The 14,135-nt window shown below is 43.4% G+C and overlaps 1 long non-coding RNA gene across 3 annotated transcripts; it reads right to left on the reverse strand.

Annotated features, from left to right (window-relative positions):
- Nucleotides 1-2,605: 2,605 nt before the first annotated feature.
- On the reverse strand, nt 2,606-13,023 carry LOC105370020 (uncharacterized). 3 transcript variants are annotated; one of them, XR_945427.3, is made up of 4 exons: nt 12,824-13,023; nt 12,641-12,729; nt 12,418-12,503; nt 11,591-11,949 (listed from the first exon to the last, which is right to left on the reverse strand). It is a non-coding gene; the product is annotated as an uncharacterized LOC105370020 (long non-coding RNA). The 3 variants fall into 3 exon arrangements; XR_945428.4 differs by lacking the exons at nt 11,591-11,949; nt 12,418-12,503 and adding an exon at nt 2,606-3,699; XR_945426.3 differs by lacking the exon at nt 12,418-12,503.
- Between the last annotated feature and the right edge of the window lie 1,112 nt (nt 13,024-14,135).

The following is a 14,135-nucleotide window of genomic DNA, read 5'->3' on the forward strand; positions in this document are numbered from 1 at the left end:
TATTTGGGGAAGACCTATCAGGAGCCAGGACTTGTGCTGTGTGCTCTCACACACAGGTGGCTAAGAGCTTCAGAGCTGCACATGCCCACCTTTGAACCCTGCTTCTGTGTCTTGCTAGGTAACTGAACTTGGGTTTGCCACTTAATCTCTCTGAGCCTCACGTTCATCAGGTATAAAAGGGGGTTAACAACATCTACCTGATGAGTTTGTTGGGGGAATTCGAGAGGATTAGCCCTATGCCTCACACATAGTCAACACCCAGTGCTTGGAATTTGTTATTTCCATTGTTTATATTGTCATCTCCTGGGGTCATCATTCCAATCTAGAGAGATGCATGGAAGGTGGGTAATTTTCAATATTGATCACCTCTTTTTTTCTCCTACAGCAAGAGCCAGCAAACTTTTTCTGTAAAGGGTCACATATTAAACATTTTTGGCTTTATGGGCCAGATGGTCTTTGTAGCAACTACTTGGCTCAAAAGCAGCCACAGGCTGGGTGCATTGGCTCACACCTGTAATCCTAGCACTTTGGGAGGCCGAGGTGGGTGGATCACCTGAGGTTAGGAATTCGAGACCAGCCTGGCCACCATGGTGAAACCCCGTCTCTACTAAAAATACAAAAATTAGCTGGGCATGGTGGTGCATGCCTGTAATCCCAGCTACTCTGGAGGCTGAGGCAGGAGAATCGCTTGAACCCGGGAGGCAGAGGAGGCAGCAAGTTGGGATCACACTACTGCACTCCAGCCTGGGTGGCAGAGTGAGACTCCATCTCAGAAAACAAACAAACAAACAAACAAAAAATCCAAAACAAAACAAAAAAAAACAGGCAGCCTGCTGGGTTTGGCCTGCAGGTCACAGTTTGCAGACTCTGGTCTTACAGTGATTTATCGGACTTTTAATACCTGATCACTTTTCATTTTGTTTTATAGCTAGTGGTAAATGTGCTTAATGTTTCATTTGAACATAAGCTCCTTGAAGTCAGCATGCATTCCAGAATGGCTCTTTCTCTCTCTCTCTCTTTTTTTTTTTAAGAGTCAGGGTCTTGCTCTGTCACCCAGGCTGGAGTGCAGTGTTATGATCATAGCTCACCGCAGCCTCCACCCCCCAGGCTCAAGTGATCCTCCCACTTTAGCCTCCCAAGTAGCTAGGACTACAAGCATGTGCCACAATACCCAGCTAATTTGTTTTGTAATTTTTTTTTTTTTGGAGAGACAGGGTCTTGCTATGTTGCCCAGGCTGGTCTTAACTTCTTTGCTCAAGCAGTCCTCCCACCTCAGCCTCCCAAGGTGCTGGGATTACAGGCATGAGGCTCTGAACCTGGCCCTTAATTGGTTTTGTGTGTCTCTAATTTTCTCTAGATGAGGAACTCAATACATGTTTCCTCATTGGATTACCACTGTGGGAGGCTCCAGGACAGTGAAGAGGTTAAGATCACAGGAGTCAAAGTCATAAATGCCTAGGTTCAACTTTTAGTGACTGGTCAAATGACTTCGCTTCTCTGAATCTCAGTTCTCCAACTATAATAACGGAGATGCAGAGAGTACCTATTCCACTGGGTTGTTGGAAAGATTGAATGAGATGATGAATGTAAGATTCTTAGTGATGTGCCTGGCAAGTAAGTATATACTTAATAAGTGTTAGCAGAAGGGACAGATCCCTGAACCAGAACCAAGATACACCAGATACTCAGTAAGTATTTGTGCAATGCTGTTTATGAAGCCTGGGGGAAAGTGTCTCTTTCTCTGGACCTCAGTATCCTCATCTGTGGACTGGCAATAGGAAGGTGTGCTGTGGGACTGGCATGAAGATCTAGTGAGATGGTATGGTTGAGAACACTTAGCAAATCATACAGGCTGTCTGATGACACAGCTACTTTTACAGGTATTGTCTGCAGTATCCTCTGTCTCCTTATCTCCTTAGTAACCCCCAACCCTCAGCTCTCCCTCCCCTAATTCTTTCTGACAACTGTTTATCTACCTTGGTGTTATTGACATTTTGGGCTGGAGATTTCTCTGGTGTATGGGGCTGTCCTGCATACTGTAGAATGCCAAGCAGCATCCCTGACCTTTACCCATTCAATGCCAGAAGCACCCTCTGCCTCCACCAGTTATGACAACCAAAACTGTCTTCAGACATTGCCAAATACCCCTGGAAGGAGGTCAGAAATGCCCTCTGCTCTGGTTAAAAGCCATTACTTTAGAACAAGCCTAATGCATATAGCAAGGCAAAATTTGGAAGGAGGAAGAGGTGTCTGGAGCCTTCTGTGCTGCAGATACATAGAGAAATGATTACTCCATCTGCAGAGACTTCAGTTTAGCAAAGTGTGGCCTCAGACAAGTGTCTTAACCTCAGACAAGTGTCTTAACCTCTGCAAGCCTCAGTTTCCTCATCTGTACCTTGGGGTAAAAATTCCCACACCCCAGGGGTTGTGGTGAGGACCCAATGGAAGAGGATAACCACAGTGAAGACTGAATAAATCATAGCTATTTTTATTGTGTCTTTTGTTATGGTTACTGAGGTATGATAAAGTTCCCCTCTGCTTCTTGAATTTCAGATTTCATTTCAGCATTCATAGCATAGTTTGCAAACTGAAATGAATAAACTGGATTTGACCTTCAGACATGTTTTATTTGGCCTTCGATGTGATTAAAAAATGTTTCAATTCTTAGCTTACATTTAAATGTTGGGAGATTTTTATCTAGAATTCCAGATTTGGGGCTTTTCCTAGAGAAGTGGGGAATTGGCCAGGGCTGGAGCTGGTACCTGCCACCCCCTTTAGATGAGGTGTGTGCTCTCCTGTTTCCCCAAAGCCTCGCCAAGCTCATTTCAACTTCACTCTATGGCATTTTCCTTTTGATTCCTGCAGGTATTTGAGTTTGCAATCCCTCAAAATGTTTTTGGAGAATTTTTTTCCAAGGCCCTCAGAGTTGGTGACTGTTATCCAAGTTTTTCTATTTCTTTCTTTAAAGCTGAGCCACTTGTGAGGTAAGGGTACGTCATTTTCGATGCTCCACCTAACCTCAATGTTCCTTTGACTTTCTGACTCTTGACAGTGAGCCAAGATGGGACCATCTCCAAACCATCCTGTCAGTCTGGGGTGCTGTGCAGGGGTCCGAGGATCTGCCACCCCCATCCTGTTATCTGTTCCCATTTGCCTGACCCACGTCCTCCCCCAGTCCAATCTTCCCCAGCGAAACCAGAACTGTCAGCTTCTCGACAACCATTTATCAGACACGAGGAAATAACAGCTTTTAACCACGCTTGAAGACTGTGATCAAATTCCGAACCATTTCCAGAAGTGCCCCTTGGGGCCCAGGGGGAGACGTGGTTTCCATGATAACAAACTCTTTGCTGTCTCCCGTCTCCAGCCTCTGGGAAGAGAAGCAGATCTTACCTCCCTACGGTGCTAGAGGAAATTTAACTACAAAAGCTGGCAGAGATGACATATGCAGAAACAACAGCATCACCTTGATGGGGACCTGTAATCAAATGTGCTGTCCATGACGGCAGCTATAATGGAGAGTCTTGCGGCACCCTTCCCTCCAGACACGTCTTCTGGGTTTGCCTGGGCCGACGTCCAAAATGGAGAGATGGGGGAGCTATGACTGGAAGAAAGACTCAAGTTCTTTCCCGACAGGATTGTAGCCTCTCCTTCACATGATCTTGGGGCTTAAGTACTTTCCTGAGAATTATTAAAAAACTAAGTAGACAAAAGAGAAAACAGAAAATGAAACTAGGAAAGGCTGGGGAGGTAGGGAAGAGGCTTCCTTCATTTAAAAAAGATAACACATGCAAATTACTTAGAGGCTCTGATATCAAGAAAGCACTCCATATTTGTGATATTTATTATCCTCTGATTGGCTGTGCCTCAGAGGCTACAGTGATAACCGTGGCAAACTTCTACTGAGTTCTTAATTTATGTTCATGATCATTTTTAATTCTCATAACAGTCTTACCTGGGCATTGTTATGGCTGTCTCAGAGATAAACTGAGGCTCAGACTGGTTAAGCTTGCTGAGGTCACACAGCCTATTAGTAGCAGAATTTGATCCCAAACTCCAGTCTGTCTAATTCCAAAGTCCACGATCCTATCTACCACATTACACTGTATGTCCTTATTATAGTCTGAGTAGAATCAGTGTTAAGTCTGTAGGGAAGTGTAGAAGAGTCTGTGAACTTCTAAAGTCAATGGATATATCTACCTTATCTGTCATTTTATCTCCCATGCCTAGTGTAGCACCAGAAACATAGTAGGTGATAAATAAATATTCATGGGATTAATGAAAGAGCAATGATTAATTCAAATAGATGTATTTTTATCAGTGGGCTTTCAGGCAGGGTAAAGAGATGTGTTTGTATTGTAATTGTCTGTTTAATAGTCTTTCTCTGCCTCTTAATTGTGAACACCTGTTTCTGTGATGGTGTCTGAATTCATTTGTTAGGGCTGCCATAACAGAATATCACAGATTGGGTGACTTAAACAACACAAATCTATTTTCTCACAGTTTTGGAGGCTGGAAGTCTGAGATCAAGGTAACAGCAGTTTCATTTCTTCTGAGACCTTTCTCAGAAGTAAAATACTTACCTTGTAAGATGGTGGTAAGTGCTAAAGAGAGAGAGAAAAAAAGCAGATATCTTTGGTAGAAACATGTTTCAAATTTGAATGTAAGATGATGTTATCCAAACATGGGTCCCTGTCCAGTGATGAGATCTTGGAGGAAGGCCTCCGACTATGGTGAACCGTAACACTCCAGATCTACCCATACATACACCCGCTCATCCACTCATCTGTCTACCTATCATCTATCCATCATCGATCCATCCATCTATCCCCTCATCCACCCATCTATTCACCCATCCAAGTATTTTACTCCTTGGCTGGAGACAGCCATCTTCTCACTGTGTGCTCCCATGGTTGTCTCTCTGCACTTGAATGTATCTGATGTCTCTGTCTGTGTCCTAATCTTCTCTTCTTATAAGGACACCAGTCATTATGAATTAAGGCCCACCCTAATGACCCCAACTTTAACTTAATTTCTCTTTAAAGACCCTGTCTCCAAACATAGTTACATTCTGAGGTACTGTCGGTTAGGGCTTTTAAATTGGAGTTAGGGGAATAGAGTATATAAATCATCCTGTAACAATATCTGTTTTGTTCACTTTCGTAGTCCTAGAACTTCACAGAGGGCCAAGTGCACACAGTTGGATAAGTAGGTTTAATTAATGAATGAAGGAAAGAATAGAAGACGGAAGAATGGATGGGGGAAGGACAGGTGTCATTTGCATGGATGAATTGATGGGTGGATCGATGATGGATAGATGACAGGTAGGCAGATGGGTGGATGGGTGGGAGTATGTATGGATAAATCTGGAGTGTGATGGTTCACCGTAGTTGGAGGCCTCCCTCCAAGATCTCACCAATGGGCAAGGACCCGTGCTTGTATAACACCATCTTACATTCAAATTTGAAATATGTTTCTACCAAAATGGACTAAATCTAAGTATCTAGGCGCAGGACCCTTGATAGTCCTTCCCCAGAATATTCTAAATTACATGGTTCTCTAATCAACTCTGAAAACTGTGTAAAACACTGGGGAACCTGAGGTCATAACTGCTTGAGAATTTAGTCGTCTTCTGTCTTTATTTCTTGCAAACAGCCACCTGGTAACTTTCCCTCTATTTGTCTTAGAAGGATTTGATTTCCTCTCATAGACATGTACAAACTGTGTCACATGGAGACCTTTTCTGATTACTAACAGTGGAGTGGGAAAGGGAGTTGAGCCCCCACAGATTTTGAGAAAGTCCACATCCTTTGGTGTTTCTGTTACAAGGTCTCAAGTGTGGGAGCTGTTACCTTATAACAGAAGTGGACAGGAGACCAGGTTCTCAGGGCAAAGGTTGCAGATCCAAGGACAAAGGACCCAGGGACCAGCTGATTTATTTCTTTGCTTTTATTCACACATTCCCTCTCTTCCCCACCCCCTACCCATGGGTTTACAATGTGGATGGTTGTGGTATTACGTTCGGAAGAGGTTAGGGAATCTTTCACTGGGGAAATAGCACCTTTTCTTCTTTGTTATCTTAGACATGTTTGGAAACTGACTAGGAGCTCTTATTTCCCTTCTTTCTCCTCTTCCTCTGTCTCTTCTTTTTCTGTCTCCTCTTCCTTCATCTCCTCCTTCTCCTTCCAACAACTACCATATATTGAGCACTCAGCATAGGCCTGCCTCTATATCAAGAGTCTTACAAGTATTGTTACATTGAATCCTTAGGACAATCCTTTGAAGTACAACTATGACCTTCCCCACTTCTCTTTTGTTGTTGTTGTTGTTGTTGTTGTTGTTTTGTTTTGTTTTTTGAGATTGAGTCTCGCTCTGTTGCCCAGGCTGGAGTGCAGTGACACAAACTTGGCTCACTGCAACCTCCGCCTCCCAGGTTCAAGTGATTCTCCTGCCTCAGCCTCCCAAGTAGCTAGGATTACAGGTGTGCACCACCATGCCCAGCTAATGTTTTGTATTCTTAGTAGAGATAGGGTTTCACCATGTTGGCCAGGCTGGTCTAGAACTCCTGGCCTCAGGTGATCCACCCGCCTCAGCCTCCCAAACTGGTGGGATTACAGGCATGAGACACCGCACCTGCCCCCACTTTACTTTTAATGAGGCTGAGGTTCTGAAAGGTGAAGTCACTTGCTCAACGTCATACAGCTTGTTACAAGGCAGAAATGGGATTTAAACTCAGGTTGTCTGATGCTGAGCAAAGCTTATGCCTATAACTGTGACACAAAGACAAATAAATCCAAATGCCTACGTGAGATGCTTAGATGACAAGCAGTGGTGGGGACTGTGGCCAACTGAAGAATTCCTACCCTGGGTAAAGGAGGCTTCTGCTACCCATCTCCATCTGAATATTGCCAAGTGCGGGGGGTGGGGAGCAGTCTTCTGATTTTTCAAGATTAGCTGGAAATCCAAATCTTTATGCAAAATCTCTTACATAAAGATTTTTTTCTCTTTTAAATGTCAGCGACTAATTAATTTTTTAATTGTGTAAGTCAAACATGCCTAGAGATGGAATTTAGCTTGAAAACTACCAATCTGTGACCGCTGCTTGAAACAACCACTAGAGTGCAGCTCCCATGGGCATGGAGCTACAACCCATGACATCCATCCATTGGCCCTAGATTCTGAGAGTCAGATTAATCTTTGTCTTCTTGTATGTTATCTGCTGACTCACAAAGAGCTATGGCTTCTGTAAAAGGAGAAGACCCAGATACTCTCAAAATAATATCTTGTAGAGCTGCATTTTCCGGTATAGTAGCCATCAGTGACATGTGGCTATTTATATTTAAATTAATTGAGATTAAATAAAAGATAACGTCCCATTTCCTAATCTCACTAGCCACATTTTATGTGTTTTGTGGCTACTATGTCAGGCAGCACAAATCTAACACATTTTCATCATCACAGAATGCCTTACTGGACAGACAGCCCTATTAAGAATCAAACTCTGGACCCATCCCTTTTCTCTGTCTTTTATCTCCCATAAAATACCTCTGCAGGCTGGGCATCGTGGCTAATGCCTGTAATTCCAGCACTGTAGGAGGCTGAGGCAGGTGGATCACGAGGTCAGGAGTTCAAGACCAGCCTGGCCAATATGGTGAAACCCCATCTCTACTAAAAATACAAAAATTAGCTGGGCGTGGTGGCACGCACCTATAATCCCAGCTACTCAGGAGGCTGAGGCAGCAGAATTGCTTGAACCCGGGAGGCGGAGGTTGCAGTGAGGTGAGATCATGCCAGTGCACTCCAGCCTGGGTGACAGAGTGAGACTCTGCCTCAAAAACAAACAAACAAACAAACAAAAACACCTCTGCATGCCCTACCCTCCCAGGGAAATATCTGCTAATGACAAGGTAGCCCACCTGGAAAGAGAAAAGGAAATAATCTCATATATATTAATGGGAGAAAGCTAGTTGATCAGTCCACCTTCCTCTCATAGTAAATATGGACATCATTAGTGTCCTGAAGACTTTTGCCTGTTTCTCATTAGTTCAGAAGAGTAATTCTTGGAAAGCATTTCAGAACAGACAGATGAGCAGCAAACCCTTGGAAATGATTTTTGAGGGTGCCCAGTGCCAGCTTTCTACCCTTGAGAACTCCCACCCTCATGCTCTGTCTACTGCTGCTTCTGCAAGGACATCAGTGTAGTAAGTTAGTCCACGTGAGTCCTAGCTCAGTGATGGGAAAGAAGATTAAATGAAGGCTCTCAAATGCGTCAAAGAGGAAAGAGTTCTTGGTGGGAATGTAGAACAGCTAATAAAAGAAGACAAGCTTGAAATTAATGATGATTCAAAAATGCCAGAGTTACCAAGATTTTTTTAAGTAGTCAACGAGAAAGACAAAGTGCAGAAATTGGAACATTTACCAGACATGAAGAAATTGCAAGAATAGTTACCAGCCAAGAGGTAATTAGAAAAGACGTGGATGAGCTGGGGCATCTGCAAGGTTGGCAGAGGGTAAGGCATGGATATAAAGTGAATCTGCCAAATTGCCCTATGATTCAGGACCTGGGTGGGTGGGGAGCCAGAATATTAGGGGAAAAGAAAGCCAGAGGAAGAGCTATCTTTGCAGAAAGTTTCCTTAGGATAGCCATCTGGAATTGTAACAAGAAGACTTAATGAAGAATTGAAGTGAGCAACATACAGAGAGAAGTAAACCTTTTCAGGGTAGTACAAAACTAATTATAAGAGACACGAAAGACTCAGTCAGATGGAGATCAAAGTGTCACCTTTATTACTGATAAAAAAAAAAGCTCTGCTGGAGGACACAGCTTGCGAATACTCTCCTGAATTGAATTTATCCCTCACTCCAACTTCACCCAAACCAGTAGGACAATGCCTGCTCCTCTAACCTCAGAATGCACATTTTCTGCAGGCAAGTGGATCCCAAGAGAGTGACGACTTAGATGAGTGCTTTCAGTTCCTTCTTCCAGAAGCGCCAATCGAGTGGGGCAAGAGGTCAGGAATGTCACTCTATTGGAGGTCCCTCTATAAAGGAACATGAGGAATGGGGAATAAATGTTCCCCCTCCTGTTCCATCCCCTCCCCCAACAACATCAGACTGTTTCAAGAAAATGGTATATTGAATATGAGAAAATAGAAATTGTGAAGTCATCAGAATTTGAGGAAAATATATGGGGCTGCCTGGCTGCCTGGAGTAGTCTCTCTCTCTCTCTCTCTCTCTCTCTCTCTCGCTGTCTCCCCCTTACTCTTTTAGTTCCTCATTACTAGATTTTTACGTGAGTGGACTTTATACTGAGGTCCTGACTCAATCACCTTCTTACTGCATCTGCTTTTCATGGATTATCACACTGACTCTATGAGTTAGGTGCTATTATCTCTCCATTTTACTGATGGGAAAACTGAGGCTCAGAGATATTAAATATCTTGTCTAAGGTCACTCAGCTAGTAGGTGGAAGAGCCAGGATTTGAACCTGGTCTTGTGCCCTTGTCCGCTCCACTCCACCGCTGCCTCATGACAGACAGAGAATCTGACTGGCTTAGCCTCTTTTTTGATTTTTTGTTTTCGTATCAGACCATGAGAGAAATGTGTGGGTCCATAGGCATTTGGAGACTTGTCCTATTCAGTGGCAACTAGAAGCCCTTCCCTTTCAGCCCTTTGTACCGCATTGTTATTCTTTGAAGGAGGTTGCTGACCTGAACAATGGTTACAGACATAATACAGACATTGGATGTACAATACAGACATAATACAGGTATTGGATGGTTGAGAGGGCAGCTCTAAAGTCAGACATATCAACATTCAAATTCAAGCTTAGCCAGTGACTTGCTATGTGACCTTGAGCAAGTCACTTCTACTCTTTGGGCCTCAATTTCTTTGCCTATAAATGGGCATTTTTCCCATTTATAAGAATTTAGTGAGCTACTGAGTGTTAACACTTAGCAGAGCAAACGTGGAATGAATGCATTTTTTTGTTATTGTTGCAGAGGACTCAGAATAAGGAAGGTTAAACTTTCCATTGTTTGCCCAATTATGACAAGCCTCTTTGTGCTGCTCTGTTTTCGCCTATGGTGTTCCTCTCACCTACACTGTTCTTCCCTACCCCCGCCAGCTCCCCCAGTTTGATGACCTCCCACTTGTCCTTTAAGACCTTGTTTAACACTCACCTTTTTGGAGCCTCCTTAGACTCTCCCAAGCAGAATAAGGTGCTGCTTGTACACATCTCTGCTAGGTCCTTCTTCCTTTTCCTATTAGATATTATGATGAGCTGGTAACTTGCCTCTCTTCCCAACTCCCAACTAGGCTAGAGCTTTTAAAAACTCTACTAGGTCTTTCTTCTTTTCCCTATTAGTGTTTTGTTTTGTTTTGTTTTTGGGTTTTTTGTTTTGTATTGTTTTGTTTTTTATTTGAGATGGTGTCTTATTCTGTCGCCCAGGCTGGAGGGCAGTGGCACGATCTTGGCTCACTGCAACCTCTGCCTCCTAGGTTGGTGCAATTCTCCTGCCTCAGCCTCCCGAGTAGCTAGGATTACAGGCATGCACCACCACACCTGGCTAATTTTTGTATTTTTAGTAGAGACAGGGTTTCACCATGTTGGCCAGGCTGGTCTTGAACTCCTGACTTCAGGTGATCCACCCACCTTGGCCTCCCAGAGTGTTGGGATTACAGGCGTGAACCACTGTGCCCGGCCTAGAGTTCTTAAAATATGATTTTACAATAATATCACAACTTGTCTCTTTCCCCAATTTCCAACTAGGCTAGTTAGAGCTTTTCAAAACTAAAGAACCATGCCTGGTTCACCCAAGTGTTCCCTCATTTCACTTGGACAACATGTTAAATGCTCAATAAATGTGTGAGTAAATGGATACTTAATGTATTAGTTATCTATTTCTGGTTAACAAATCATCCTCTAAGACAACATACTCATGATCTCACATTCTGTGGGTTGAAAGTCTGGGTATGGTTTAGCTGAGTCCTTTGGTTCTGGGTCTCTCATAAGACTCAACTGGGAAAGATCACTTCACAGACTCTCTCATGTGGTTGCTGGCAGGCCACAGTGCCTAGCAGAGTTGCTGGACTGAGACCTCAATTCTCAGTTGAATTGTTGGCTAGAAGCCTTCCTTGATTCTTTGTGATATGGGTCTCTCCATAGAGCATTTTACAATGTGGAAGCTGCCTTCAACAGACTGAGCAAGAGAAAGGACAAGAAAGAGTAGCTGCCAAGACAGTGCTAAACAAAAGAGTCATGTTTCTTGTAACCTCATCGTGGAAGTCACATGCACATCACCTTTGTCGTACCCTGTTCATTAGAAGCAAGTCACTAGGTTCACCCTGCATCAATGGGAAAGGATTGCACAAGGTTGCAAATATCAGGAGGCAGGGATCACTGGGAGCCACGTTGGCAGCTGCCTGCCTTGCTTAGCAAGGCAGAGGGTAACTGAAAGGAGAAAGAAGAAGGAAAGGAAATACCAAACGGAGAGGATGAGGAGGGGACAAGGAAGAAGAAATAGTGTTATCCACACAATGGGTGGGCTCTAGCACTTGTTGGGTGATGGCCCAATGACCACAATCAAAGAAGATTTAGCAAGGGGATTTTATTACTTGAAGTAATTAAGGAAAATAGGGGTGATAGCTCCCAAAGCAGTGCCTTCCTGAGCTGAGGTCTGTCCGGTTTTATAAGGATAGGGTAATGAGACGTGATCTGATTGGATCTTGCAATGAGGTGATGCCAAGAGGAATGATCTGACTGGCTTCCACCATGGGGTGATTCCAGAGCTCGATCTGATTGGATCTTGGATTCTGCCATGTGGTGTCCGTGTCTTAATTCAGTTCCTGCTCCTTGGTCTGAGCACTTAGGTTCCCCGTGTGGTTGCATACTTGGTTTATCTGGGCATGCTAAGGTTATGTGACCTTCAACCTGGGAGTCCATGGCAACTAAAAAAAAAAAAATGACTCTACAACTTTGTTACATAAAAGTTGACTCAGATTGGTCTAGTGCAGTTACAGTAAGAAGAAAGAAGAGAAAGGAAGTGGCAAGAAGGAGATCAGTCATAAAATACTAGGCATTTACTGTGTTTCCAGTAAGGTGATTTGAGACACAGCGCCATGACGTGGCCCCACCCCATGGGTGTCTGTCAGGATGAGAAGCCAGAAAATACACATGAGGGATGATTATTGGCAACTTAGGGTCATGGGTGGGGGACACTCCATGGTTCACCAAACCCCAAGTGTTATGAGATTAAGATTAGGGTGAACTAATTGGGCCTGGTACACTGAGAAAGCTGGAACTTGAACTGGGGCTTGTAACGTGAGTATATTTGGGACAGAAAAACAGAGTGAGGAACAACGTGGGAGACTGTTTAGAGGTGAAAGACTTCTTAAAGAAAGGGGACTCCAAAATACCTGCCATGGAGGATTCTAGGAGGGCACCACTGGGAGATGAGATTGCAGAAGCAGATGGAGACCAGGCTTTCAAGGGTCTTGAGAGTCTGTGAGATAGTTTTGAACTCATTTGGTGGACAGCTAGGAGACTTTAAAGGTGGTTGAGCGGAAGCAGCGTGAAGCCGGGTTAAGCGTAGAAATTTGGAATCAGGAACATTGGCTTTCCAATCCCTCTGCCACTTACCAGGTGTGAGAAGCTCTTTGGGCAATTTAAGTTCTCCAAGCCTCAGTGTCTTCATCTGCAACATATTAATGTCCTCTTCATGGATTTTTCTGAGGATTTGATACATAACGTATGTAAAGTGCTTAGCGTAGCGCCTGTCACGCAATGAGCTCTCAATGACAATAATAAAGTTATTATTATTACCATTATTATTATTTCTGAGTTGGGGATGGGACACTTGGAGAGAGATGGAGAATTTTTTAAATGTCAAAGTCTTCCTCTTGGTGGCAGAACATTCATCTGGCCCCTTCCCTTGTCTCTTCTTGGTTGTGGACCGTGACAGATGAGCAATAGGGACTTAAAAGTGACAGATGTGTCCATCTAGGATAGGACAAAGAGGGGAGGGCCAGAGGGAGGTAGGGTTGAGGAATGACCTCACAATGCCCGGAATCATGGTCAATGGAGCTGCAGAGGTTGAAGGAACTGTCTTTACAGAAATGTAATTCTGAGGCCAAGCCAAGGGCAGAGTTCCCAGAATTTGCTTGGGGCACTGGCCCCGCAGTTCTCATTTAGAGAGAGTGGCCTGATGTGGATTCTAAAGACAGGAGGGTCCTTGGAGGTCAACGGGACGGACATCCCTCCTTGTACTGTATTGTTATTCTTTGAAGGAGGTTGCTGACCTGAGCAACTGGATTAGGGACAGTTGGGAGGGCCTCGGACTCAAGTAAATTAAGTTCCTGAGTTCTGTGATGGTAGGGTTCAGTCCTAGGTGAGTTGGGAAGTAGAAAAACTTTGTTTTCTTTTTTAAATTCCTCATTTTGCACCCCCAAACTCCTTTTTACTCAGATAAAATATCTTTCCAGCTATGTCTTTTACTGTAATTCTTTCCTGTCTTCTTCTTCCAGTGAAAATTTACCAACCCTGGATTACATTCCCTGCAATTCTGCTTTTTACTCATTTCATAAAGCAGTGGCTCTCAGACTTGTGAATTTCAAGTACTAGCGCATTTTTCGTGTTGAAACTTCCACGTTGAAATATACAGAGACAGTGTATAGGGACAGATACAGAGATATGGATATAGCTCATTGTAGAGATTGCCAACTCTTTATTCTTTCAAATACCTTTAAAAATTGTTCCATAAATGACGTGGTTTTTAAAAAAACTCTAAACAAATAAGAATAGTCTCAAATAAAAGGCAATCCTTTAAATATAATAATTTTAGCTTTGTAAGAAACTCCCTTACATTGGCTTTATTTTTTTGCACCACGGACTATCATTTAGAAACTGCCATCATAGATAATTTATGCCAAGGTGTTAATGGCTTGATAACATGTTCATTTAGGAAATATCCAGCTCCTCCTATGTGTCAAGCCCTGTGTTAAATGCTGGACCTGCAGAGATGGAAAAAACTAGGTATCTGGATGTCAAAAAATTACAGTCTGGTTGGGAAAACATTTATAAACAGTGATGCTGATACTAATGCGCTACCTCAGAGTGATGTGAGCTTTTCTAGCAG

Source organism: Homo sapiens, chromosome 12, assembly GCF_000001405.40.
Source record: "Homo sapiens chromosome 12, GRCh38.p14 Primary Assembly".
NCBI lineage: Eukaryota > Metazoa > Chordata > Mammalia > Primates > Hominidae > Homo > Homo sapiens.